General features: G+C 45.8%; 1 protein-coding gene, 1 long non-coding RNA gene and 1 pseudogene across 7 annotated transcripts in view, besides 7 other annotated features; 1 reads left to right on the top strand and 2 right to left on the bottom strand.

Moving 5' to 3' along the window:
• Positions 1–1,721, bottom strand: part of LCMT1 (leucine carboxyl methyltransferase 1) — a 66,487-nt gene extending 64,766 nt beyond the window's left edge. For 4 of the 6 annotated variants that reach the window (XM_011545864.2, XM_011545862.3, NM_016309.3 and 1 more), the window contains exon 1: positions 1,467–1,721. In XM_011545864.2, the coding sequence (XP_011544166.1) occupies positions 1,467–1,485 (19 nt within the window). In that variant the 5' untranslated portion in view covers positions 1,486–1,721. The remainder of the gene's footprint in view (positions 1–1,466) is intronic. The other 2 variants (XM_047434197.1, XM_005255354.5) reach the window with 1 other exon arrangement.
• Positions 1,414–1,573: an enhancer, noted in NCBI's record as "active region_10605". NCBI's record gives its function as "activates an Ori minimal core promoter by ATAC-STARR-seq in GM12878 lymphoblastoid cells {active_cell/tissue: GM12878}" and the evidence as "EXISTENCE:reporter gene assay evidence [ECO:0000049][PMID:35858748]".
• Positions 1,664–1,993: an enhancer, noted in NCBI's record as "active region_10604". NCBI's record gives its function as "activates an Ori minimal core promoter by ATAC-STARR-seq in GM12878 lymphoblastoid cells {active_cell/tissue: GM12878}" and the evidence as "EXISTENCE:reporter gene assay evidence [ECO:0000049][PMID:35858748]".
• Positions 1,664–2,298: a biological region, named in NCBI's record as "H3K27ac-H3K4me1 hESC enhancer GRCh37_chr16:25122486-25123013".
• Positions 1,771–2,298: an enhancer, noted in NCBI's record as "H3K27ac-H3K4me1 hESC enhancer chr16:25122486-25123013 (GRCh37/hg19 assembly coordinates)". NCBI's record gives its function as "activates a minimal SCP1, AML or CMV promoter by ChIP-STARR-seq in naive H9 embryonic stem cells {active_cell/tissue: H9 hESC(naive)}" and the evidence as "EXISTENCE:reporter gene assay evidence [ECO:0000049][PMID:30033119]".
• On the top strand, positions 1,908–12,899 carry LCMT1-AS1 (LCMT1 antisense RNA 1). The gene is made up of 3 exons (NR_120306.1): positions 1,908–2,067; positions 9,822–10,112; positions 12,778–12,899. It is a non-coding gene; the product is annotated as an LCMT1 antisense RNA 1 (long non-coding RNA).
• Positions 5,942–6,441: an enhancer, noted in NCBI's record as "H3K27ac hESC enhancer chr16:25118343-25118842 (GRCh37/hg19 assembly coordinates)". NCBI's record gives its function as "activates a minimal SCP1, AML or CMV promoter by ChIP-STARR-seq in naive H9 embryonic stem cells {active_cell/tissue: H9 hESC(naive)}" and the evidence as "EXISTENCE:reporter gene assay evidence [ECO:0000049][PMID:30033119]".
• Positions 6,238–6,437: an enhancer, noted in NCBI's record as "active region_10603". NCBI's record gives its function as "activates an Ori minimal core promoter by ATAC-STARR-seq in GM12878 lymphoblastoid cells {active_cell/tissue: GM12878}" and the evidence as "EXISTENCE:reporter gene assay evidence [ECO:0000049][PMID:35858748]".
• Positions 6,442–6,943: an enhancer, noted in NCBI's record as "H3K27ac hESC enhancer chr16:25117841-25118342 (GRCh37/hg19 assembly coordinates)". NCBI's record gives its function as "activates a minimal SCP1, AML or CMV promoter by ChIP-STARR-seq in primed H9 embryonic stem cells {active_cell/tissue: H9 hESC(primed)}" and the evidence as "EXISTENCE:reporter gene assay evidence [ECO:0000049][PMID:30033119]".
• Positions 18,283–20,052, bottom strand: LOC100421173 (thyroid hormone receptor interactor 11 pseudogene; annotated as a pseudogene).

The following is a 27,917-nucleotide window of genomic DNA, read 5'->3' as shown; positions in this document are numbered from 1 at the left end:
GATCAGGAAACTGAGCCACAGAAAAGTTTAGTAATTTCCCCGACTTTATACTGCCAGTAAGTGGCAACGCTCAGTTTGACAGAGTCTAGCTCCAGAATCCATGCTCTGAAAGTTTAGTCCCCAAGAACCTATAAAAAGTGCAAGGTTTAATCCAACACACTGGTTTTCCCCACTCTACAATCACTACGTGGCCTCAGCCTCCTTCTCCCACCTTTAAAGCATTTTTTGAGTTCCTCTAACAGTTCACACTCCTCTGAACACTCTCCTACAACTTTCCTATTTTTCAAGCCTTTTCTTCTCACTTTTTTTTTTTTTTTTTTTTGAGACATAGTCTCGCACTCTCATCCAGGTTGGAGTGCAATAGCGTGATCTTGGCTCACTGCAACCTCTGCCTCCCGGGTTCAAATGATTCTCCGGCCTCAGCCTCCCGAGTAGCTGGGATTACAGGCGCCCGCCACCACACCCAGCTAATATTTGTATTTTTAGTAGAGATGGGGTTTCACCATGTTGGCCAGGATGGTCTCGAACTCCTGACCTCGTGATCTGCCCACCTCGGCCTCCCAAAGTGCTGGGATTACAGGCGTGAACCACCGCGCCCAAACTCTTCTCACCTTAAACATCACTGACAAAATTACAAACTCTAATGGCACTGCCGTATTTGTCAGCACTCAACACAAAAAAATCATAATTATATATTTCATAGGTAATTATTTGCTTCCTGTCTCTCTTTTCCAACAAAGCTGTGAGTTCCAGTATGTCTGACACCATGTCTGTCTTGTTCTTGGTGTATTTCCACCATCGAATTCCTACTAACCACTGCAAAGTAAAGGCCTGGCACAAAGTAAGGTCTCAAAAAATTTTGTTGAATGAAAGAATAAATGGTGGACATTCAAGCCTCAAGCTTTCTCTTTCTCTGACACGTACCTCTGCTGGCTACGCCCCCATCCCCACCACCACACCCTTAACAGTGGAGACTTAGTGCGGTACTGGCTCTGCAAAGAGATATTACTTGGCTCTGGGTGGGTTATTTCCCCTCGTCATCCTGAGTTTCAGGTGCACAACAGGGATCACACCAACCCCCTAAAGAATGCAACCTACAAAAGAGAGAGAACCTACACCTCTCATCCTCGTAACCCATCGAGGCTGGAGCTACTATTTGCTTCATGTCTGTCTTTCCAGCAGCGTTTAGCTCCAAGAAGCCCAAGGCCTCGTCTGTCTGGCTCAGGGGCCTGCTCCCATCGACGATACCCAGGCTGGCCCCCTGCCTGGCTCACAGCAAAAGCTCAGAAACGATTCGTTAAATAAATGAAGCCCTGCTCCGTGCACTTCACAGGTGGGAAGCGAGGGTCGTGCGAGGCGGGGGCTGCATCCCTGCCAGCCTTGAGCGTATTCTTCAGATGCAGGCCCACCTCCCACCTAGGCCCGCGCCCCAGATGCCGGCCCCGAACCCCGCGCCCGACAGGCACCTCTTGCACAGGGAAGCATCTTCGCAGGTGCCGCGCACGCCCTCGTCGTCTGCGTCGCAGCTCGAGGTGGAACAGCAGGAGGTGATAGAGGATTCCCTCTGCCTAGTGGCCATGGGCGTGGAGGTTCCTGGGAGCTGTGTCCGCCAGGGACATGGAAGCGGGGTCGACGGGCGGCGGGGGACGGCGCGAGCCACAGGGAGAAAGCAACAGAAGAGGGTAGGGCCCTACCTGGCTCAGCTGGCGCGGCTCAGTGACGCCGCCCACGCCGGCTACCCCAGCAACCTCTCCGCTTATTGGCTCCTCTTCCGAGTCGCTCATTGAGCAATTCTCCTGCCCGCTCAGCCTACGAAGTTGCTCATTGGATAATTATTTTGGCACCGCCCACATAACCCGGAAATTTGACGATAGGAAAAAGAAACTAAACAGTAGGAGAGTATCGCAATCCTTTCTGGGAAGCGTAGTCTTAGGTGTCTGGAGAAGTCGCCCGGTTTCTGCTTGCTGGTCGCGAAATTTTATAGCTATAATTAACTCAGGGCGGAACAGCTAGCAGAATCCTCAGCGTTCGGGCAAAGGGCAGAGAATCCAGCCAGAAGCAACATGTGTAAGTTGTTACATTCAGTCCGGGCTCAGTGTCATTCAATTTTACAAAATTTTGTTGTGTGCTGACTCTGCCAGCGACTGTGCTGAGGGCTTTGCCCCCAAAATTGCCTTCGAAATGTAGTGAGGGGGGCGGGCGTAGTGGCTCACTCCTGTAATCCCACCACTGTGGGAAGCCGAGGCGGGCCGATCACCTGAGGTCAGGAGTTCGAGACCAGCCTGGCCAACATGGTGAAACACCGTTGTTACTAAAAGTACAAAAATTAGCCGGGCGTGGTGGCGGCCGCCTTAGTCCTGGCTACTCAGGAGGCTGAGGCAGGAGAATCGCTTGAACCCGGGAGGCGGAGGTTGCAGTAAGCCCATGTGGCGCCACTGCATTCCGTCCTGAGCGACAGAGCGAGACTCCGTCTCAAAAAAATAAATAAACAAATAAATAAAAGAAAGAAAGAAAAGAAATGTAGTGAGGGAAGTAGTGTGTGGAAAAGTAATACAATAGGAAGCCATGTAGCAGCGATCATAAATGAACTAGAGCTACCAGGTAGCAGCATCAATGGCTGAATCTCAGAAACACGATGTTCAGTGAAAGAAGGAAGTCTAACAACACTTTTGTAAAGTTCAAACCAAGTAAAACTAATGTTGTTTAGAGAAACGTACATATATGGTAAAATACTGTACAGAGAAGGCAAGACATGAGAAAAAAAAATAAAAAAGAATCAGGATATTGGTGATCTTTAGGGAGCCGGGAGGGTAGCACACAAGAGGGGGAGGGAGAGGCAGGGAAGGAGCACATAGACACATCCTCAGTTTCTCACGTGGGAGTGGGTTCACGTGTGTCTGTTTCATTATGAGGCATATTCAAGATGTTTTGGATTTATTTTGTACTAAATCTAGTACAAAATATATGTATAAATTCAAGATGTACTGGGGAAGTCGCCTGGTTTCTTGCTGGTGATGAAATTTTATAGCTATAATTAACTCAGGGCAGAACAACTAGCAGAATCCTCAGTGTTCGGGCGATTGGCAGAGAATCCAGCCAGAAGCAACCCTTGTAAGTTGTATATGTATAATAATGTTTAATATACATTATAAATTAAAAATGTCTTTGTATATTCCATTTTGTTATCTGTCAGTTGTTGGAAGCAGGAAACAGATATACTTTAAGAACTTTGAATTGCACTCATTTTTTTAAAAAGAAAATCAACAACAGAAACCCAGAATACACACCTTGGAGTGAGGTCAAATATCAAATGCTAGCTCAGTATTCTAATGGAGGCACAAGATCTCATTGATAGCCACAGTAGAAATGACAAGAGGGGAATGACTAAGGGTGGAGAGCTTTGCCAGGGGGAATGCTGATGGGATGAAATACACCATTTTCTTGGAGTGGTCCTTTGCCAAAAGGGTAATACAAACTATTGCACAAGCATCATCTCCCAGCTTAGCAGTGTCCACATTCCACGGGTGTTAGTGGATAGTAAGTGTTAACAGCAAGTACTATACGGTGTTAATCCCACAGGTCTGGACAGTGAGACTGGGGGTGACTGGAAGAAGGCGGAGGCAGATGGGTTTATACACTTTTGTTGTTGGATGAGCCTTTGATTCAAAATAGCTGGTGATTCAGAGGAATTTGGCCATCTTCCAGCTGACCTCCAGGGCCAGCTCATTCCATGTAAGTTCCTGGTTGAGGATCTGAAAGTTTATGACAGCGTGGAGTCTGGAGATTGCAAGCTTAGCCATCTCAGGCTAAATGATACCTTAATGCAAGAGACAATGCTGGGGTAGTCTTTGAGCCATATCCCAGCCAGAGAAAGTTCACTGCCAACTAGACTGCATCTTTTGACAAAGTCAGGAGAAGAGTTGTGGAAGTGTAAAAGCTCTTGGACATTAATATTGTGGGCCAAAAGTTAGGCATTCACCATGGAATCTCTCCCCAAAAGGCTACAATGGACAATTGTTGCTTTGGCTCTCCAGTATCTCTTTCTTCTATAAAAAATAGCTAGAGTGGGCTGGGCGCGGTGGCTCACACCTGTAATCCCAGCACTTTGGGAGTCCGAGGTGGGTGGATCACCTGAGGTCAAGAGTTTGAGATCAGCCTGGCCAACATGGTGAAACCTCGTCTCTACTAAAAATACAAAAATTAGCCAGGCATGGTGGCAGGCGCCTATAATCTCAGCTACTAGGGAGGTTGAGGCAGGAGAATCACTTGAACCCGGGAGGTGGAGGTTGCAGTGAGCTGAGATCGTGCCATTGAACTCCAGCTTAGGGGACAAGAGCAAAACTCCGTCTCAAAAAACAAACAAAAAGCTGGCATGGTGGCTCATGCCTGTAATCCCAGTACTTTGGGAGGCCGGGGCAAGTGGATCACCTGAGGTCAGAAGTTCGAGACCAGCCTGACCAACATGGTGAAACCCCATCTCTACTAAAAATAAAAATTAGCCAGGCATGATGGCGCATGCCTGTAATCCCAGCTACTCCGGAGGCTGAGGCAGGAGAATTGCCTGAACCCTGAAGGCAGGGGTTGTGGTGAGCCGAGATTGCGCTATTGTACTCCAGCCTGGGCAACAAGAGCGAAACTGTCTCCAAAAAAAAAAAAAAAAAGCTACAGCTTCTTATGGAAAACTAAGCTTCTCTCCTGGCCAGGCGTGGTGGCTCACACCTGTAATCCCAGTCACCGAGGCGGGATTTGGGAGGCCGAGGCGGGTGGATCATGAGGTCAGGAGTTCAAGACCAGCCTGGCCAACATGGTGAAACTCCATCTCTACTAAAAACACAAAAAATGGCTGGGCATGGTGGTGCGCGCCTGTAGTCCCAGCTACTCAGGAGGCTGAGGCAGAAGAATCGCTTAAACCCAGGAGGCAGAGGTTGCAGTGAGCCGAGATCGTGCCACTGCACTCCAACCTAGGCAACAAGAGCGAAAGTCTGTCTCGAAAAAAAGAAAAAGAAAAAGAAAAAAAAGCAAGGCTCCTTGCCTGACTCTAGGGGTGGAAACTTGCCAAGGTCTGGCCAATTGGCACCCAAAATCACCTTGTCATGCTTCAGAGGGTGGTGGGGATTGGGGGAAGGGCTAACCAGGTTGTTCCAATCAGAATGAATCCCAGGAGTTGAATGGAAGTTGCTCAGTTTATTAGCAGAGCTCTCTTTTTTGCCACACTTGAACTTGGTAGGTGCCATCAGGTGTGGCCTGTGTGTCCGCCACGTGGTCTCTGAGGCTCCCACCTGGGGGCAGCAGCAACACAACATCCTAACCAGTGGGTGCTTGAGTTCTACTCACTGATGTTCAGATTAGAACTCTTTGGTCACTGCGTCTAGCCTTGTGACCATCACTAGCTGCTTGGGACAGCCATAGAGACACTGTTAGGAAAGTGTGCCCCCAGCACAGTCATGGGAACAATCCTTTATGTTGTTTGTGGCAAGGAAGGAGACCATCACCCATCACCCCAGGAAGATTTAGGAATGGCTCCCTGCCTGTGTCCTAACAGTAATTGTTCTAGCAAGGGTAGTGATGTTTCCTGTGGCACTGTTGCGCTGCTGCTGCTCTCTGTTCTTCTGACCCCTAAGAAATGCACATCCCTGGCAGTCAGTGGCCTAGTCACTGATGATGAAAAAAATAAAATGGACAGGGAATGGCATTTGTTGTTCAACTTCTCTCTCGATGGAAAACCCCAAACTGACAACCCTGGGCTTTGCTTCGCAGTGTTGCTTGCATATTTGGTCAAGGGGTTCAATGGCCCCAGCTGGACCCTAAACAAAATGAACTTACCAGGAGAGGACCCCAGCACTGGGGAGATTGCCTGGCACTCCCGTGGGGAGGAGGATGGCCACCCACGGGGCAGGCTGCTGGTCTCCCTTTCCCCATAACTTCCCTGAAGATCCACACCACGAGTGATCTGATGGAGACGAAAACCACGTGACTTGGAATTTGGAAGAGTGGAGGGGACCCTTAAAATACATGAGAATCCCACTAAATTTCAATGTGGTAAATATTTGACTATTATAGCTAATATGTTCTGCCTGTTTCAAGGACCTCTCAGCCACCATCTGCCAGAGGGCAGGTGGATGGCGTCGCTGAACCTGAGGTACCAAGGGCTGGGGCAAAGTCACGCAGAGGCCACTTTGCTCTGCGCCCTGGTCCTCGCGATCTTTGCCAGATCGGGCTCGTCTGGGCTCGGCTCCGATCGGTCCAGCTGGACTCGGCTCGACTGGCCTCGGCCCCGAACGGTCGGCCAAGAGGGCGGGTGGACGGCGCGCCGGAAGTGACGCGAGAGAGCGAGGTCAATGGCCCGGGTAGCTACAGCAGCCGTCGCAGCCACCGGTCACCTCAGCTGTGAACCATGTAGGAGCCGTCTGGGTGTAGCCCTACCTGCCAGGCGGCGCCCCGCGGGCTGCCGCCGCCGCTGCCTTGAAGAAGCAGTTCAACCTCATCAGCAGGTGGCCGACCTGACTATGGGCCGGTCGGCTCTGGACCGAACCACAGCCCAGCCCGAGGCCAGCGGGACGCCCGCTGCCGCTCAATCGCCCCCTGGTCCTTGGCGACCATCTGGGACGGGCCGCTGCCTCCTCTGTAGCAACCCCTCGGGTGCCCCCTGCCCATTGTCCCTACCCCGGCGAGCATTGCCCTGCGAGGACTACACCCGATGCTTCTCCTCTCTTCCGGAGGACACAGCCAGCCTGGGACCGCTGCCCTGTGCTAAAACTCCGATGACTTCTGTCCCTAACGCTGTGCCGAGCGCTGTGCTGTGGGGGGCAGCATTGTCAGACTTTCCGGGTTGACCCGCTGTTGGGAGTCCTTTAAGTGCATGGTAGCAAGAAATAAAGGGATATATGAAAGCCAGTCGGATTTGCTTAGTGAATTTCAGAACGCCTGCGAGGGAATTCGGAGGTGGTGCAGTCTCAGAAACCAGTATTCCTAGGAACTTGACTGCTGCTGCAAGTTCTTGACATTTAGAAATTTAGAACTGGGAGACACCTTGTGCCAGTTTAAAAAGTCTTCTTCCTCTTGGATTTGGAGACAGCTACTTCTCCATGTTCCTTTGGTACTGCTTGAATGCTTGAAAAGAAACATAGGCAAACAAAAATAATTTATATACGGAAGATGTGTGCTTATGGAGGGATAGCTAATGCACTGAACAAAACCTAGCTGTCATTAGATGGAGGGAGGTAACAAAAGCTACCCAGAGATGAAAAATCTGAGCAGAGACTTTGTCATCCGTCTTTAAACACTGCTTTCAAATACTACTTGTATTGATTAGGTCTCTTGGCCATAAAGAAAACCTAAAACTTCTTCAAGCAAAGATAGGAATTAGTTGTCTCCTAAGTAATCACAAGAGTCCAAGAGTAGTGTGGCTGCAGATTTGGCTACATCCAGGGGTTTCACTCTTTGGGCAGGTCCAAAGAGAGACAGTCCACTGGGAGAGTTCCCAGTCTTCCGAGTCCCAGAGAGAAAGAAAACTCTTCTCCCAGTCACTGTGACAGAGTACCAGGATCGGCTCTGAATTATTCTGGGTCCTATACCTTTCCCCAGAAATGGACTTGAGTGAGCACCACTCAAGCCATATGGACTGAGGTGGAGGAGTGCTGGTTCCCTAAGGTAAACTTGGGCACTGTCACCAGCAGGCAGGGAGAATGGATGGTAATCAGGCAAGCAATAAAGGTCATGGTGGGCCTTTCGTTCGTAGTCCTGCTGAAAAAAGATAAGTTACTGTTTTGTTTTTTTTAAGACGGAGTCTTGCTCTGTCGCCCAGGCTAAGAGTGCAGTGGCGTGATCTCAGCTGACTTCAGCCTCCACCTCCCGGGTTCAAGCAATTCTGCTGCCTCAGCCTCCCAAGTAGCTGGGACTACAGGCATGCACCACCACGCCCAGCTGATTTTTGTATTTTTAGTAGAGGCGGGGTTTCACCATGTTGGCCAGGATGGTCTTGATCTCCTGACCTCATGATCTGCCCACCTTGGCCTCCCAGAGTGCTGGGATTACAGGCATGAGCGACCGCACCCGGCCTAAAAGATAAGTTACTGTTTCTTAAAAACCCTTAGATGCAGATAATCCGGTGGATACAGTTGGTATTTTGGGAGAAGTGATAACCCAAATAGGGAGAAAAGAATACACTGGGATGAGGAGCTTGAAGGTATGAGGAGAAAGTGTCAAACAGAAGGAATTTGAGGAACATAACTAAGAGAGCATAGTGCCTAGGCTCTGGTGGGGAGTGTGTCAGGCGGTATTGATTTCTTCAGTGATCGAAGTTTCCTCTGGAGGTCCAACTGCTTTTCCAGATGGTTGTTTTTAGAAAGCCAAGGATATAAACACAAACTCCTAGAGGGCCAACCTAGTAAAATCAGTGACTTGGGCCAGATGAGGATCTCACGGGACCTGGAGGACCAGGACCTACCAAAGTGGCTCTAGGCCCGGTGTGGACCACCTTTGTAATTTTCAAGAAGGGCCTGAAATCTGCATTAAGCAACTACCCTTACACTCCATGGAACTAAACAAAATATGTGGGTCACCGGTTGGCAACTGCTTGTCTGGAAGGACTCAGAAATTAACAGTTCCTGTTATTTTATTTTTCCCTGTAACGTACCCTGATATTACTACATTTGCAGCATTTTCAGTTATTTGCATTTGTGGAAGAGCAGCTCATCATTCCCTTTACTGAAATCTTTTTTTTTTTTTTTTTTTTTTTTTTTTTTTGAGACGGAGTCTCGCTCTGTCACCCAGGCTGGAGTGCAGTGGTGCCATCTCAGCTCACTGCAACCTCTACCGCCCAGGTTCAAATGATTCTCCTGCCTCAGCCTCCCAAGTAGCTGGCACTACAGGCACCCGCCATGACGCCCGGCTAGTTTTTGTATTTTTATTAGAGACAAGGTTTCACCATGTTTGCCAGGCTGGTCTCGAACTCCTGGCCTCAAGTGATCCTCCCACCTCGACCTCACAAAGTGCTGGAATTACAGGCGTGAGCCACTGCACCCAGCCCCTTTACTGAAATCTTTAAAAGGTATAATAGTAATACTCATCAACATTTCTATGGTGGTTTGGTTTACAAAGTGCTGTGCTAAACCTCCTGGCTTGGTTCTCACCTACTGACAATGATCACTTCTTTCTTAGAAAGAAGAAAACGTAACTTGCCAAATTAGATAGCTACTAAGTGGTTGAGGCGAAACTTGAATCAGGGTTTTTTGTTTTTTTGTTTTTTTTTGGAGATGGAGTCTGTCGCCCAGGCTGGAGTGCAGTGGTGAGATCTTGGCTCACTGCAGGCTCTGCGTGCCAGGTTGCATTCTCCTGCCTCAGCCTCCCGAGTAGCTGGGACTATAGGCGCCCGCCACCACGCCCGGATAATTTTTTGTATTTTTAGTAGAGACGGGGTTTAACTGTGTTAGCCAGGATGGTCTTGATCTCCTGACCTTGTGATCCGCCCGCCTTGGCCTCCAAAAGTGCTAGGATTATAAGCGTGAGCCACCGCACCCGGCTGTATCAGTGCTTCTAAATGGTGGCTCTCATGTCATTTTGAGTACAGGAACTGGGCTGCCTCTTCACCAGGGAAGGATGAATGTTTATTAAACATCTGTGCTTATGAAGGTGCAGGGCTAGGTGCTTTGCATACATTTATCTCACTCCTTTCTCACAACAAGCCTCAGACGTGATGTTATTTATTCCTGATTTAACAGAGGATGCCAGCGATTAAAGGGGTCATCGAGCTAGTAAATGACAGAGCTATGGACCTAAACCCAGGTTTCTCATTCTGAAACAGCTGTAAATTCTCATTACAGAGATCTAATGACCTTCTCCAGGAGTCGAGGACCCACTACCTCGCTGAATTCTCAGAGTCAAAATGCGTCTCTACCTGCTGGTCCCAGAACAGTCCCCTGCTGCTGCATTGAATGAATCTCATCTCACTTCCTCGAGTCAGCCCTACCTATATTTGATGATCACAAACCTTATCCTTACGTTGCCAGCAGTAACATTCTGCATCCCTCACCCACTCCACTGTGTCCTTTTCCTCCCACTGATCTTCACTCTGCCTTTTCTAGGGGAACTCTGAACAGTATTTCTGAGAAGGGGTAGGTAATGTGCGCTTTGCTTCAGTCTGAGTGGATTCCATCAACCTCTGCATAGAGCAGGGGTGGAAAGAAATCCTGTGTCATTGCAGCTTCTTTTCGATCTAAGCTTTCATGGCCTTATTATGTAGTTTACATGTTTTTGTCAGACAACAGGATGTTTTGCCTATATCATTCTATTTCCCTTTCTCAAATGTTGGAGATGCCATAGTAATTAATGAAGTACAAATCCATTTTAAAATATCTTACTCCTGGCCAGGCGCAGTGGCTCACTTCTGTAATCCCAGCACTTTGGGAGGCGGAGGCGAGCGGATCACTTGAGGTCAGGAGTTTGAGACCAGCCTGGCCAACGTGGTAAAACCCCGTCTCTACTAAAAATACGAAAATGAGCCGGTGTGGTGGCAGGCGCCTGTAGTCCCAGCTCCTCCGGAGGCTGAGGTGGAAGAATTGCTTGAACCCAGGAGGCAGAGGTTGCAGTGAGCCAAGATCTTGCCGCTGCGCTCCAGCCTGGGTGACAGAGTGAGACTCTGACTCAAAAAAATCATGCTCCTCTCTGCTTGGTGTATGTGTCTTTCCTTAAAGTTAGATATTAAAAGTACAATAGAGTCACAGTCTCTTATCTGGAAGTTTTGGGGTCAGATAACTTTCAGAATTCAGATTGTTTCAGATTTTTCTAAAAGTAATAATGCACGTATGATGTGGTTATATAATGCTCTGGGCTCTGGGACAACACCCGATAGTCAAACATATTATTGTTACTATAGCAAAATGTATGAATATTTTCACACTTCATGGATGCGTAAAGATTATACATAGCTTCATGTCGACTCAGGTCAACTTTTGTTGCCAAATAAGTTACAAAAAAAACTTATTTTGTAGAGCTTTTTGGATTTCAAAATGGTAGATAGGGATTGTGGACCTGTCTTAGTATAAGTACCTATTGAGAGTCTGTGAAATTTTTTTACTTTAAAGAATATTTTCCATATTCCAAAAGGTTGGAAACCACAGTTATATTGTATAAGCAGGGGTCACAAACTCAAGTGCAAGGGCCAGTAAAATAAATAAGTGGGAGGCGGGTATAGGACAGTAGGGAATGGGGGGACTGTAGTGAACCGGTGAGTACGTGTTCATTCAAAGGGGAACATGGCCACGTATTGTCATGGTGAATGTGGGAGTAGTGAAGCCTCATCTTCCATTTTTAATGATACTCCAGAATGCTGAATTCCATGTGAAGTTTCTTGATATTTAAATATTGGCAACCAAAAAGAAAAAAGAAACTCACTGTATTAGCCAAATAAAACATAATCTGCAGGTTTTATCTGGCTGCAGGCTGCCTGCTTTACTTCTGATTTGCAGATTAATGCCGATGGTATGAAAAGTTGTCAGTGTTTTTGGTAATGAATTACTTCTTGAGATGTGGATGGATACATATGTTTTGTAATTATTCATTACACCCCATATATATGCTGTATGGTTTTTGTGTATAAAATATTTCATAATAAAAAAACCTAGACAGGCCAAGTTGGGTGGATCACCTGAGGTCGGGAGTTTGAGACCAGCCTGGCCGATATGGAGAAACCCCATTTCTACTAAAAATACAAAAAATTAGCAGGGCATGGTGGCACATGCTTGTAATCCCAGCTACTTGGGAGGCTGAGGCAGGAGAATCACTTGAACCCAGGAGGCGGAGGTTGCAGTGAGCCGAGATCGCGCCATTGCACTCCAGCCTGGGCAACAAGAGCGAAACTCCGTCCAAAAAAACAAAAAAACAAACAAAACCTAGACAACTTGCTAGTCACTTTATTTTAGACCTGCCTCATTTTCTGGCCAGTGGGAAGTTTCCTTCTTATCTACAAATTTGAAACTTTAAATTTTTTTATCTTGGAAAAGGGAATGAAAGCCCCACTTTAAAAATGGGAGCCCTCCTTAAAAGTAGTTTAGTGGCCAGGCACTGTGGCTCATGCCTGTAATCCTAGCATGCTGGGAGGCCAAGATGGGAGGATCACTTGAGGCCAGGAGTTTGAGACTAGCCTGGTCAATATAGCGAGACCCCACCTCTCTCTATAGATAGATAGATAGGTAGATAGATAGATAGATAGATAGACAGATAGATAGATAGATAGAGATATAGATATAGTAAAAGTAGGAGTTTAAAAAGGTTAGATTGTAGCTGAGCGTGGTGGCTCACGCCTGCAATCCCAGCACTTTGGGAGGCCAAGGCGGGCAGATCACGAGGTCAGGAGATCGAGACCATCCTGGCTAACACAGTGAAACCCCATCTCTACTAAAAAAAATACAAAAAAAAAAAAAATTAGCCAGGCATGGTGGCAGGCGCCTGTAGTCCCAGCTGCTGGGGAGGCTGAGGCAGGAGAATGGCATGAACCCAGGAGGCGGAGCGTGCAGTGAGCCAAGATCGCGCCACTGCACCACTGCACTCCAGCCTGGGTGACAGAGCAAGACTCCATCTCAAAAAAAAAAAAAAAAAAGGTTAGATTGTAATCTTTCTACCTTTCCAGGGCCATAGTGATCCGAAGTAACATTAGGTATCTGTCCTTATATTGGGACAGAAAGATGTCCTTCGTGTCCTCTCTTTTGAGATCTTTTCCCTGGGTCATCTCAGCTCCATAACTGTCACCTCATGATTGATGACTCTGTTTTATGCTTCCAGTGCTGGCATCTCTTCATCCCTAGAGTGATGCTGCCATCTCCGTCTTGAATGTCTCTGCTGACATGACCTGCTAAACTTGAACTCATAGGCGGGGCAATCGCTTGAGCCCAGGAGTTCAAAACCAGCCTGAGCAACAGAGGGAGATTTCATCTCCATTCTTTCATTTTATTATAAAAAAAATTCAAAATAAAATGAAATTGAACCCATGAACTTCATCCTCAAATTGGCTTCATTTCCCCCTGTCCCCTAGTCCATAAGGCACCAAACTTTGGCCTGCAGGGTAAATCCAGCCCATTGCATGTTTTATACAAAAGGTTTATTGGAACACAGCCACACACTACAGCAACAGGGTTGCCTAGTTGGAATAGTGATCCATACAACTCACAGGTCCTATAGTATTTACTCTCTGGCCCTTAATAAGAAGTATTCTGACCCCTGCCCTAGGGTATTGAATGCCCTCATGTTACTCACCATACACTTGGCAGTCCCCCTGTTTCTCCTCTTTTTTTTTTTTTTTTTTAAGACAGAGTCTTGCTCTGTCGCCAGGGTGGAGTGCAGTGGTGCGATCTCGGCTCACTGCAACCTCCACCTCCTGGGTTCAAGCAATTCTCCTGCCTCAGCCTCCCAAGTAGCTGGGATTACAGGCGCACGCCACCACACCCAGCTAATTTTTGTATTTTTAGTAGAGACAGGGTTTCACCGTGTTGGCCAGGATGGTTTAGATCTGTTGACCTCATGATCCGCCCGCCTTGGCCTCCCAAAGAGCTGGGATTATAGGCATGAGCCACTGCACCCAGCCTCTCCTCTGTCTTCTATACCCTGGCTATTACTGTGATCTGGCCGTGCTACCTCCTTGGTTATCTTTTGACTCGGTCTCTCCTTCTCTGTGGCTGTCCTTCCTGTTACCTTCATCAGGTGCTCATTGTTTCTCACCTGCACTCATAATTGTCATCCAGCTGGCTTTGCTGGTTTGAGCTGGATTTATCCCTTTTGTCATCTAGCTGTCACTTCTGTCTGATGTGGTAGTCACCATTGTTACGATTATATCTGTTCTATCCTAAATTATTTTTTTCCAATGAATTCTGTAGAGTTTAGAATTCCTACATTTAGAGGAAATTAATATTTATTTTTGACAGTAATTCCAAATTTCCTAAGATGATAATGCTATCATTTAATTTATTCTCCAGAAAGCGATGCTGCACTATAATGCATGTCATTATACACGACGTGATGAGTATCGCCTTTTGCCACCACCTTAGTTGCTTACGTATGTTTTAAAAATTTGCTAGCTATTTAAATTTTTTTCATTAAGGTGGAAATGAATGTGTCCTTATATTTGTATTTCTTTATATGTGTTTTCTGTATGTGTCATTTGTTTATTTAATTGTTATGGAATTGTTTAGTTATGAATTGAATTATTCAATTACCAATTCCAGTCAACAAATGTCTATTAAGAACCTGTCAGTAAATTTTCAGGCCTGGCATGGTGGCACGCCTGTAATCCCCCAGCACTTTGGGAGGCTGAGGTGGGCAGTTCACTTGAGGCCAGGAGTTCAAGACCAGTCTGGGCAACATGGTGAAACCTTGTCTCTACTAAAAATACAAAAATTAGTCAGGCATAGTGGCATATGCCTGTAGTCTCAGCTACTTGAAAAGCTAAGGCATGAGAATCGCTTAAACCCAGGAGGTGGAGGTTGCAGTGAGCCAAGATCATGCCACTGCACTCCAGGTTGGGTGATAGAGAATCTGTCTCAAAAAAATGAGAAAAAAAAAAAAAAAAAGAAAGAAAGAAACTGTCAGATGTGGCTGAGGGGAGACCAGTCTGTAGGTCCTTAGTAAAGAGCAAGGATAAAAAGGCAAGGCCTCAAATATCCTGTTAAAGTTGGACTCCAGGCAGTGGGAACTTCATATAATTTTAAGCAGGGAAGTAACATTATCAGATTTTCATCCTAGGAAGTGGACCCTCACAGCAATGTGAACGGACTCAAGATGGGGCCAGTGGTGGAACCAGCAAGATCAGCAGGGAGTCAGCTGTACCAGTTGGTAGAGGGGACAGGAAGGAATGGACCACTGCCATGGGAACAGGAGAAAAAAGGAAAGAATTAGAAAATATCTGTTGGTTCATTGGATATGCAGTGGATGAGAGAGAGAAAGATCAATCATGATTCTGAGGGCTTATCCTTGGGTGATAAGGATATAATGGAATATATTGAGTTTCTTTTTAGACATGTTGATTTTGAGAAGCCCATGGACATCCTGATAGAAGTATCCAGCAAACAATTAGATAAACCAGTGTGGAATCAGGAGAAGGATGAGGTTAGACATAGACATTCAGAAGTCATTGGCATACCAGTGAAAGTTGAATCATGGGAGTGGATAAGTTTGTCCTGAGACTGCAAGCAGAGTAAGAAGATCCTGTTAGCTGATGATGGTATCTTGGAGAATATTCACATTTAAGAAGTGTCAGAACGGCCGGGCGCGGTGGCTCACACCTGTAATCCCAACACTTCGGGAGGCCAAGGCAGGCGGATCACCTGAGGTCAGGAGGTCAGGAGTTCGAGACCAGCCTGGCCAACGTGGTGAAACCCCATCTCTATTAAAAATACAAAAAATTAGCCGGGCGTGGTGGTGGGCGCCTGTAGTCCCAGCTACCCAGGAGGTTGAGGCAGGAGAATCGCTTGAACCCGGGAGGCAGAGGTTGCAGTGAGCCAAGATTGCGCCACTGCCCACCAGTGTGGTCAGTAAGAGCAAAACTCCATCTCCAAAAAAAGAAGTGTCAGAACAAGAAGCCACAAAGAGACTAAGAAAAAAGGTTCTAACATTAGGAGGGAGAGTGGTATCATTAAAAATGAAGAATGCAGAGAAAATGTAAAGAATGAAGATGTGGTGTTTCATATTTATCAGGCACTACGGAAAGGTTAAGTAAACAGAGTATGCATTGGATTTAACAGAAAATAGCTGGGGCATGAGTGAGACAAGATTTTGTAGAGCTTTCAAAAACAAGTCAATGAACAACGAGATGGTGATCTTTCAGAGGCTTGGCTGTGAAAGGTAGACAGATAAAGTGGTTGGTTGCTGGAGGAGCAGAAAGGAGAATGCGATGTGCCAGGAAAAATGGACATACTTGTGTGCTTAGGGATAGAGAGAGATGAAAGACAAAGCAGAATGGGAGATCAGTAGAATGAGGTCTTTGAAGAAGTCTGAATGGGTAATGCCCAGGGGACTGTTAGCCTTCAACTGCAAAGCTGGATCCCTTTTCCTCTGAGCAAAAGGGAAGGAGTAGAGATGAATGAAGAGAGGACGGTGGGATATAGGCAGGGGGTATGGGGGTCTTGACTGCTGGTCTTTAATGTCTGCAAGAGGGTAGAAGGCATGATCATGCCTGAGGAAAGTGATAAAGATTTGGAGGGGCCCTTAAGGAAATTGATCTCAAGGGAGCTGACCACGGACATTTGATAGCATTTGGGGCACAAACTGCTTACACGCTGATGAATAGGAGCTGTTGAAATGAATTGGAGGATATCTATAGGAAGAAATTCTACTTTTAAAAGGAATAAAATGGAGTCATTCACATTTTAAGAGATCTTCAAGGTGTAGTGATTTTTTTTTAGAAAGCATATCAGAGAATAATATACTATCATTAATACAGACATGCACATATTTTTAAAAGATCTGGAAAAAATACAGATTAATAATAGTTTTCTGGGAAATGGAAAAGAGTAGGACATAGCCAAAAAACAGAACTTCTACTTTTTTTTTCTTTGTTTCTTGAGACAGGCTGTCACCGTGTTGCCCAGGCTGGATTGCAGTGTTGTGATCACGGCTCATGGCAACCCAGACCTCCCAGCCTCATTTGACCTTCCCACCTCAGCCTCCTGAGTAACTGGGACTACAGGTGCCCACCAGCACACCTAGCTAATTTTTCTATTTTTTTTTTTTTTTTTGGAAACAGGGTTTCTTCATGTTGTGCAGGTTGTTCTTGAAATCCTGAGCTCAAGCTATCCATCCCCCTCAGCCTCCCAAAGTGCTGGAATTATAGGTGTGAGTCACTTCATGCTGAACTTTAAATTTTTTAATTTTTATGCAACTTATGCTTTTCTGCTGTTCATCTGTTTTTCTTATATACCAACTATACACTCGTGTATTTTACAATATTTGATCCTTAACACACATGAATATTTTAATTACCGAAGGCATACAAAAGTACCTGCTCCTTATAAAACACTGAAAGCATTATAAAACTACTTCAACTATCCCTCAAACACAACCTCAGTCTGGCCAACACCCAGCCTCACAAGAAGCAACCATAGTGTGAACTTGTGTGAATACCTTTACAGTTCTTCAGAGAGACTCTTTTTTTTTTCTTTTGAGATGGAGTCTCTCTCTGTCGCCCAGGCTGGAGTGCAGTGGCGCGATCTCAGGTCACTGCAACCTCTGCCTCCCAGGTTCAAGCAATTCTCCTGCCTCGGCCTCCCGAGTAGCTGGAATTACAGGCATACACCACCATACCCAGCTAATTTTTGTATTTTTAGTAGAGACGGGATTTCACCATGTTGGCCAGACGGGATTTGAATTCCTGACCTCAGGGGATCCACCCGTCTCGGTCTCCCAAAGTGCTGGGATTACAGGCATAAGCCACCACACCCGGCCAGTCCTTCAGAGACTCTTAAAAATTTTCCTTGCAATAGTTCTATTAAATTTAAAGAAAGTATGACTGAAAATGAAATGACTGTTTCCAAAAGGCCATTAGTGATAAAGTAGATACACAGCATGGCTTGATCTTTCATAGTCTCTGAGAATCATCTGTTGCCTTGACAGCCTATCAGCCCAGCTCCTGCACTCTGGCCAGGTGACATCAGCGGAGGTGCAGATGCGGGCAAAGCCTCTGCAGCAGCATTTGACAGATGATGCCCCGACCCACCAGGTCCAAGTCCAGCCAGGCTCCTAAGAGAGAGCAGAGGGGCAGGGATTGGCATCTGCTCCTCTGGGTATGGATGCTGGGGTGTTTCCTAAACTTTGTTGTACATTTTTAGCGAGTTTGATCTTTCCTGGAGAATTGTGAGGAGGAAGACTTGTTGGAAGAGTAGATGAAAGAGATTCTGTTTTAAGAAATTTAACAAAAAGTTCTGAAAAAGAACCATTAAGGGCAGGTTGCTGATTCAGCCCCAGTGGTGTTTTAGGGACACTTTTTGATCCTCCTTCAAGCCACCCAGTCATCCACCTGGTAGCAGTGCCATGCTCTTCCTGAAACAGTGGCTCCATTTCCTCCCTTGTGATACCCAGGATGCTTCCCATTGCCTGTAACACTTCATGCTGTTTGTGTTTTGGTGTGTGGAGATAACTAATGAAGAGGTTTCTCATTAGGAGTTTGTCGACTTTTGCTTCTGTGCTGCTGGCTAACTGTATGCATTTCCTTTGGAAACTATCCAGCCTTTCCTGTAGGACCACATTTTGGTTTTCAAGTTCTTTGATTTGTTGCTCCTGATATTCTATTTTCTTTTCCCTGGATGTTTCTGTGATTTTTTCATTGTCCTGTTTTAGTTCACCTGTATCCATTTCTAAAACTGATATTCTCTTCTTCAGATTTCTCACTGCCTGCCTCAAAAGTTCATTTTTATTCGTTTTTTTAGTGAGATTTTCTCTCAACGAATGTATTAGACTATTTTTGGTTCTGATGAAAAGGTTTTTTCCCTGAAGTAACCTATCTAAGGCATTTTGTTTCTCCTTCAGCTGCTGAATTTCTGAATGCATTTGCTCGTGTTCTTTTCTTTCTCGTTCTGCGATGGCAGCAATGGAATCAGACAGTCTTTGATTGTCTCCTTGGAGGGATCTAATGGTCGCATCTTTTTCCTGCAGTGATTTTCTCAGCTTCTCGATCTCTTGCTGGAGCAATTTAGAAGACTCACTTGATAGAGCAGACTCACTTGCATGAAGAGATTCTGCGGTGTGTGAAGAAAGTGCTTCTCTGGGGAGCTGGGGTAAAATATCCAGCTGTGGGAAGAGACTGTCTTTGCCGTCACAGAGCTGCCTGATGCTGTGCTGCGTGTGTGCTAACTCCTGCCCCAGGTTTTTGAGTTGAGTTTCACTCCCTTCATATTTTTGGATCAGATCTCTGTGGTTCATCTGACACTGAGAATCGTCATCACTGTCAATTAAAAGCTTTGCCTGAAGTTGACAAAGTTCCTCTTGGGATTGGGCTGCTCCCTGCTGCATATTTTGCACTGTGGTCACCAGCTTCTCTTTCCACACCTCCACTTTCTTAACTGGCTGTTTTAAGATATCGAGTTCTTGTGGAAGCCCCTCATACTGATTGTTAGTAACAGTTACAATGTTATGACCAGTGCTGGATGTTTGCAGAATTGTCGCTAAAGGCTGACATTTCTGACTTAATGCATCTGTTTCAATATCTTTTTCTTGATTGAGATGTGATGACTTCAGAACATTGTCTATAAACCTTTCCTGACCACTACTAGTGGGTGATTTTTTATTTTCCTCTTGTAGCTCACACAGGCCTCCTTCGTTGTCAGCAGTTACATCCATTCCATGGTGATACTCTCTTTCTAGATAGCTGTTTTCCCTAGCTACCTCTTTCCAAACAGCTGATAGTTCTTCTGTTTCCAAAGCAGGTGCTTGCAGTTGCTGCTGAAAGTGAGCAACACCCTTGGTGTCAGAGGCTGAAGCCGTTCTAGCCTGAAGGCCCGGCACCTCCACATCTTCCTGCTGGATGATGTGAGTGAGTTTGCCCACCTCACTGATGGACGGCTCATCCATCCATTTAGTTAAAGTCATATTCTTGTCATGTAGAACTTTAATCTCCAGTTCTTGTTCTTTTGTTCCTTTCACTAATCTTTCAGTTTCCAGTTTACATGAATCAGGCTTTTCAGTTCCATCTTCTGTATGAAGACACTCAGCTTCTGTTGTTTGAAAAACATCGTGGTCTGTTTGAATGTAGTCTCGTTTTCCACACAGGTGGGTTTTGATTTGTTGTTTTGCATTTTGCAAGTTCTTAATTTCTTCATCTTTGGCTGAAAAGCGCTGGGTGTGTGTGATATTCATTTGCTCTTGCTGGCATTTAAAATCATCCATTTCCTGTTTCTGGTCTTGTAAAGACCAAAGTAGTTGCATCTTACTGTGCAACTGCTCTTCAGTTATCTTTTGATATTTTATTTCTGCCTCAAAACTATTGTTGTTTCCTTTCAGTTGAGATACCTCAGTTTCTAGTTCCATAATTGGATCTGCTCTAGGCTTGGCCATAGGTGCGGTTTGACTATGTTGAAATGTCTCATTCAGTGGTTCTATGAAGACCACACATGCTTCAGTGTCCTTGATTTCACAGTTAGGGAACTCTTCCCCCTTATCTGTTCCCTGTATCAGCACATTTGAGATGTGGTTGATGAAGGAAGTCACATTGTTGCCCACTCGCGCCATGGAACGGCCTAAGCCAGAGCCAGGGCCCCCAAACCAGGAAGACATTGGTGGATCTTAGAACTGATCTGCTGTCCTTCGTGAAAAGCATCCAGTGCACTGGGATTCGCGTCCAGTCTGGGCAAGTCAGGGAGGCCCTGTCTTTTTTTTAAATTTTTTTTTTTTTTTAACTGAGACAAAGTCTCACTCTCTGTTGCCCAAGCTGGAGTACAGTAGTGCAATCGCGGCTCACTGCAACCTCTGCCTCCCGGGTTCAAGCGATTCTCCTGCCTCACCCCCCCAGTAGCTGGAACTACAGGCATGTGCCACCATGCCCGGCTAATTTTTGTAGTTTTAGTAGAGACGGGGTTTCACTGTGTTGGCCAGGCTGGTCTTGAACTCCCAACCTCGTGATCCACTCACCTTGGCCTCCCAAAGTACTGGGATTACAGGCATGAGCCACCGCGCCCGGCGGAGGCCCTGTCTTTAAAACAGACATTCACAATGAGGCGTTGCTAGGCAGCGCCTACTCAGAGGGTCACAAAGGGTAGGATGCTGCCTGGCAATGCACAGGCCTGGCCTGGGGCGTCACTAGGGCCAGACTGGTGCTCATGGGCCTCTGCTCATCCCCACACCTTCCCACCCTCAGGGTTGGCGCCCTCTCCCTCTGCATTAGTGACTTTCCTCTGTGCCACATGCAGCACCTGCCACCCAGCCACCAGGACAGCTGCTCAGAAACCCCAGATGCTTTTCCCTGAGTGTGAGTGTGAGCGTACATGTTAAGAAAAACATTGCCTTTCATTTTTTCTAAGTGGCACCGTACACTCCATATGTGTTCTGCATCTTGTGATTTTCATGCCACAGTTACTTTGTTAAATGGAGGTAAAAATTTACACTGTGCCACACACCCATCTTAAGAGTACAAATCAGTGGGTTTTGGCAAACGTCTACACCTGCACATAAGCACTACCCTAAGGAAGATAGTGAACATTTCCATCATCCAAAAAGTTCCTTGTCCCCTTTGAGATTCACCTTCACCCTTCTGCCCCAGCAAGCCTTGTTCTTGTCTCTGTTTCCATGGTTGAGTTTTACATGTTATTGAAGGTCACCACACAGAGTATCCTACGTGTACAATCCCTATACCTGGCTTTTTTCCACATGTGTTTCAGATCTCAGCAGGGTAGTGAGTTTTAACTCCCAAGCAATTGCTTCATTAATGAATGGATCCATCAGCCACAGTATATAAAGGTCCTAGTAGATTGCAAGGCACCAAGTTGGTGCCAAACACAAGGCCGATTTTCATACACTGCAATCAGCTAGAGGGTAGGCAGGTGGTGTGGGAGTGGCTGGAGGCCTGATGCCATTCGAGTATTGAAAAACTATCAGGCCAGGCGCGGTGGCTCACGCCTGTAATCCCAGCACTTTGGGAGGCAGAGGCGGGCAGATGACCTGAGGTCAGGAGTTCGAGACCAACCTGGCCAACATGATGAAACTCCGTCTCTACTAAAAATACAAAAAAAATTAGCTGGGCGTGATGGTGGGCACCTGTAATCCCAGCTACTCGAGAGGCTGAGGCAGGAGAATTGCTTGGACCCAGGAGGTGGAGGTTGCAGTTAGCCAAGATCGCGCCACTGCACTCCAGCCTAGCACACAGAGCAAGCCTCCGTCTCAAAAAGAAAAAAGAAAAACCATCAGTGGTTCTCTGTTGCTCCCTAGTTCCATGGCAGGCAAAGCCTTTCTTTGCAGCCACCTCCTGTTCTATCCCCTACTGAGTACACACTCCTCCCCAAACCCTTCTCCCCATGCTCTTTAGTTGTCCTGACTTATCTGAGGTCCACTTGGACTGTTTCCCTGCTTTCCTGGCCACACAGCTCATTGCTCTTCTATCTGTGCCCCCATAGAGCTCTCCTCAAGGATGACTGTTGACATCTCTGTCTTTCCCATGAGCTCCCAAAGGTGGGGACTGTGTGTCATTTGTCCCTCCTTTTTATTCCTTCCCGTTTCTTGACATTTAGCGTGAGCTCCATAAATAATGGCCACATTAACCAAGATCTGAGATCCTCAATACCTTGGATGAAGTCCATCCTAGGATATGTGGTTTATACCTGGGGACTTGCTTTTGCTCATCTATGAATGTTCAGCTGAGATCTGCTGGTGCAGGTGTTTCTGTAGCCTCATTAGCAGTGGTGGGAAGCCCAGCAGCTTAAGACGTTAGCTTCTGATGCAGGGTTCACTAACTCTCCACATATTCTGTCCCTGAGTTTCTGTTTATCGTTTGCCTGTGATTCTCTTTGGTGCCATCCCACACGGTGTTATCACAACCAATCCTGTGTTTTCATTGAACGTCCTGCGCTACTCCTGCTCTAAGTCTGACTAGCTTTTTGTCTTTGTGTGGTCTGGGCTCAACAGCCACTTTTTCCAGAGAGAAGCTACAACAGCTTGATAAGTTTGGAAAGGTCATTCTTAGATAAGACTTGGGATTTATCTGAAGGTTGTTATTATTTGTTGTAATTCTCAGAATAGCTAACACTCCATGAACCCTCACTAGGTGCCACCAAACACATTAAATGAAGTACATAACATGGTGTTCCTAAACAACCACTATGGTGGTGGTATCATTATTATTATTATTATTTTATGGTTATGAGTATTCCCATTTCACAGTGGAGGAAACGTTGCTTAGTAAAGCGTACCTGTGAGCATCTAGGCCAGGGATTCAGAGTCTGATTTGACTCCAGAGCCATTTCTTTCTCTTTTTCTTTTTCTTTCTTTTTTTTTTTTTTTTTTTTTTTGAGACGGAGTCTTGCTCTGTCACCCAGGCTGGAGTGCAGTGGTGCGAACTCGGCTCACTGCAACCTCCGCCTCCCGGGTTCTAGCGATTCTCCTGCCTCAGCCTCCTGAGTAGCTGGGATTACAGGCACGTGCCACCACGCCTGGCTAATTTTTGTATTTTTAGTAGAGATAGAGTTTCACTATGTTGCCTAGGGTCTGCAGCTCCAGACTCAGGAAGCCTGCCTCAGCCTCCCGAAGTTTCAGGATTAAAGGCGTTAGCCACTGCGCCTAGCCTCCAGAGTCATTTCTTATCACTCTGTTTCTTATCACTGAGTTTATTCTGCCTGAGGGCAAGAGAGTAAAGCCAATTTAAATCGTGCACTTCCGAGCTCCTTCTGGGCCGCCCTAGAATCAGGGCATTATCCCATTTTAAGTATACAAAATGATTCTTAGTAAATTTACAGAGTTATGTAACCAGCATCACTATCCAATTGTGGAACATTTTCATCACCTCAAATAAGAGCCCTCTTGCCCCTTCTAAAGTTAATCCCTGTTCCTAACCCTCCAGCTTCATGGCCAGCCACTCATCTACTTTCTACCTCTATAGATTCTGTCTCTATCGAGTCCCGTTTTCTGGCCATTTCATGTAAGTGGCATCACCTGTATTATTTTCAGAGGCCCCATGATCATCGTATGTAGCTCTGGTTAAGAACCACCGTTACCTCCTAGATCTTTTTTCACTAATTTTCTGAGTGGCTCGGAAAACTCAATAGGCCCCTGCCAGGGCTGTCTCTTAGATAATCTGTGAGCTAAATGAGTCCTTGTAAGTTGGACTGAGAACTTAATGATCATTTACAACCTGTTTTTATGGGGATGAGTTTGTCAAAGTCCAAACGTGCTGACCTAGTTTGGAAGGGAGCCTGCACAACCTGTCTTCAGACGCTGCGCGCCTCCCGAGCAGCCATCAGTCACAGCACTGAGTCAGAGCCCAGGTGTGGAGGGAGCCCCCCACCCTGTGTGGCCTGGCCTTGGGCACTTTTGCTTTAGATTTTCTTTGTGGCTTTTCAGCTCCTCCTAGCCCCTGGCTGCCTCACCAGAGCAATAAACTGGACTCCTCCTGAGCTCCCTTCTCTTTAGGCAGTAGCTCTATGTGGATGTACTGTCTGCATCACAGTATTTTACAAAATTTTCTCACATACTTTTGCCTACTTAAATACATTTGATATCTCAAACTCAGCTGCCTCCAGGTCCAAGCAGGTACCACGAGTGACCGGAGCAGGCTGGGGAATGAGGCACTTGGAATTTCTGGGAGGCCACTGAGGTGGTCGGTGGTGGAGAAGCAGTTTCCTTCAGACTTTGCCATGAGCAGGAATCTTTGCTGGAGCTTTGAGACAGTCCACATGGTTAGAGCAGGGATAGCAAATAGATTCCATTTCATGTGCCAGAGGGGAAAAAACCAACTGACCTACCAAAACGCCACGTGGATAAGCTTACATGTGCAGGAAAATGATAAACCTCAATTCAATTTAGGGTAAACTGTAACTGTTCATCTTAGTCACTGGAATTGAAATAATATTATCAAGATTAAGATTGAGAAGGGTTTTGTTACTGTTGTTTAAAGTAAGAAATAAATGTTATTACCATGTCTTAGAGAAGTTGTAAATATGTGGGCAAAATACCATCATTTGGGGAAATAATTCAGAGTATAGAACTATTAGACCTATTTTTCCCACACCATTGCCAAAATATTTTCTATTGAATCATTTCCCCCTGATAAGTATCCTTTTTCTTTTCAGTGTTATGCATGGGAACAATTTTTTCCCAATACCATTCCTTTAGAGTTCTTGAACTCTCTTATGACTTTTAAACTGCTTTGTGGCAAGTATAACAATTTTTTTTTTAAGTTTCAGAGGGTCCTTTATTATTTTATTTTACTTTATTTTTGAGACAGAGTCTCACCCTGTTACCCAGGCTGTAATGCAGTGGTGTAATCTCGGCTCACTGTCACCTCCACCTCCCAGGTTCAAGTGATTCTCCTGCCTCAGCCTCCCGAGTAGCTGGGACTACAGGCACACGCCACCATGCCGAGCTAATGTTTGTATTTTTAGTAGAGACAGGGTTTCACCTTATTGGCCATGCTGGTCTTGAACTCCTGATCTCATGATCCGCCTGCCTTGGCCTTCCGAAGTGCTGGGATTACAGGCATGAGCCACCGCACCTGGCCGAGTCCTTTATTTTTAAAATCCAATTAGGTAGATTGTAGATTCATCCCCAGAAATGTAAGAAGACAGCTAATCTAATGAGACAAAACAGTTAAAAACTCATTCAATAGTCCTCCAGCTCACTATGAAATCAAACTATTGCATCCAAACTGGGCTCAGAGGCTCAGGTGGATTTTGTAAATACTTGTAACGGGAGGTGACAGTGTTGCACAAAATCAGATTCCCAGCAGAATGAAATCCGTTGCCTAGCCCTGGGTGGGCTTAGGCTCTGTAATTTCACTGTGAATACAAATCACGTTGCACGCAGTAATGTTTATGTTGTTACCCTATATACAGTATTCAGATTTCTTGGTAGATTAGTCATAGTCTCTTATTTCTCAAAAATGCATTCAGATATTTCCTGGTAACCAGCATTGAAAATGAGTTCATTAAAAATTCTCTCCATGCTTCATTTTTTCATTTTAATTGACGTATCAGTCAGTGTGCAAGTGTAATAAAAGCCAGCAGAACAGTGATCTCTCATGTGAAATTGTAAACCAAAAACCAACAGCCCTGTGAGCCCAGGGGCAGTGGGAGCCATTGATGTTTGATGTTAGTGTTGGCGCCTCGGCCACATATTTGCTATCCTTGGGTGGGGGGTGCCCTTGGTGGTAGAAAGATGAGCCCCTGCTCTCAAGGCCCCAGAATGGCTGAAAGGATTGAAAAGGAGCAATTTGGCAAAGTCTTGAAAAGCCATCGTCTCTCAACCTCTGAAATGCAAGTTGGGAAAGCACAGAAATCCCCCTTCTGAGTAAGAAGAATTTGGATTTGGGAAGTGATTAAAAAGGACTAAAGTTTCATGGGAAAATGGACTTCACTTGTACATAGATCAGGGGTCAGCAAAGTCTGGTGTTGGGGGGAAATCTGGCGGCTGCAGGCTCAGAATGGTTTTCGCATTTCATTTATTTGGAGACCGTGGTCTTGCTCTGTCACCCAGGCTGCAGTGTAGTGGCAGGATCTTGGCTCACTGCAACCTCTGCCTCCTGTGCTCAAATGATCCTCCCGCTTCAGCCTCCCGAGCACCTGGTACTACAGGAGTGCGCCACCAAGCCAGGTGAATTTTTGTCTTTTTTGTAGATCTGGGGTCTGTGTTGCCTAGGCTGGTCTCAAACCCCCGGGCTCAAGCGATCTTCCTGCCTCAGCTTCCCACAGTGCTGGGATTACAAGCGTGAGCCAACGTGCCTGGCCCCAACTGCTGTTTGAAAAATACTGAGTATATCCTACTTCCAAAGCACCTCTCTGCCTCCTCTCAGATGCCACCCCCTTGAGCTCAGGCTCTTATCTGGAGCTCACCTTACCTGGCCATCTCCTGTGGCCTCCTAACTTTTCACCTTCATCTATCCTTCCTCAGTATTCTTCATGCTGAGACCAGAGTCATTTGAAAAACACATTTATGGCCATATTTGCTCCAATTTTAAATTCTTACACACCTGATTGCTCTTAGGTGTCTAGTGCTTGGTTCGTGGAATATGATCATAACATATGACTGGAGAAATAATTACAGATACTCTGTGTTTTTCCCCAGGATGAAGATCGTCTCCCAAGTAAATATGTTGAGTTTGACTGGGCACCGTGGCCCACACCTGTAATCCCAGCACTTTGGGAGGCCAAGGCGGGCAGATCACTTGAGGCCAGGAGTTCGAGACCACCCTGGCCAACATGATGAAACCCTGTCTCTACTAAAAATACAAAAATTGGCCCGGCATGGTGGCATGCACCTGTAATCACAGCTACTCAGGAGGTTGAGGCAGGAAAATCACTTGAACCTGGGAAGTGGAGGTTGCAGTGAGCCATGATCATACCACTGCACTCCAGCCTGGGTGACAGAGTGATACTCCGTGTCAATAATTAAATAAGTAAATAAATAAGTTGAGGTCAACTTTCAAATGATCGTCATGAGAAAGCTACACAGTATTAAGTAAGTGTGGTTTAGCCAGAAGAAAAAGAACCAGGTAGAATTCACACCCAGCTCTCGGTAGATGGCAGATTTCACTTTAGGGAACTGCTTTCCTTTGACCCCCTCCCCACTTGCTTTCTTGGCCTGGGATCCTCACTCCAGCATGTCGTGCAGTCTTCAGAATGCGATATCCTTTTCCTTACGACTCTTCTAGCAATTAATGTAATTTGCCTGAACATTTAAAAAATGACCTCTCATAATTTCATAATCTGAATCTTTATGTGTCTTTCTTGATCCCCAGGGCATAGAGAAGGTTACCTGGCCCAGACTAGATGTGCAGTAAATGGTTTTTGTATGTGTGAATGAATGGAAGACTGAAGTTAGTTATTATAGATGAGATATTATGGGGCCATTCCGAGTCCGGTATTCAAGGAGTTTGCAAAGTTGCAGATGACAAGTTTGCTAATGTGTGCTGAGTGTTCGTGCCTAGTAGCATGTTAAGTGGTTTGCTTGGGTTGTTTCATTCAGTCCTCACAGCGGACTCGTGAATTAAGTGCTGTTATTATCACGTTTTTGCAGATGAGGAAACTGAGGCTCAAAGAAGATAATGTGCCCAAGGTCACCTCGCTAGGAAAGAGTGGAGCTGAGATTTAAACTGTGACTTTAAGCCCAAGTTCAAGGCTTCTTACTAGTTTTAACTACATTCCCATACCCCTTTTAATCAATCATGTAAATAAAATCTTAATTCTTTTAAAAAATTAATATGTGTTTCAGCTTGTCCTGTAGAGAAGACTAATACTTACAAA

This window comes from Homo sapiens, chromosome 16 (genome assembly GCF_000001405.40).
Source record: "Homo sapiens chromosome 16, GRCh38.p14 Primary Assembly".
Taxonomy (NCBI): domain Eukaryota; kingdom Metazoa; phylum Chordata; class Mammalia; order Primates; family Hominidae; genus Homo; species Homo sapiens.
This window is presented reverse-complemented; position numbering and strand designations above follow the sequence as displayed.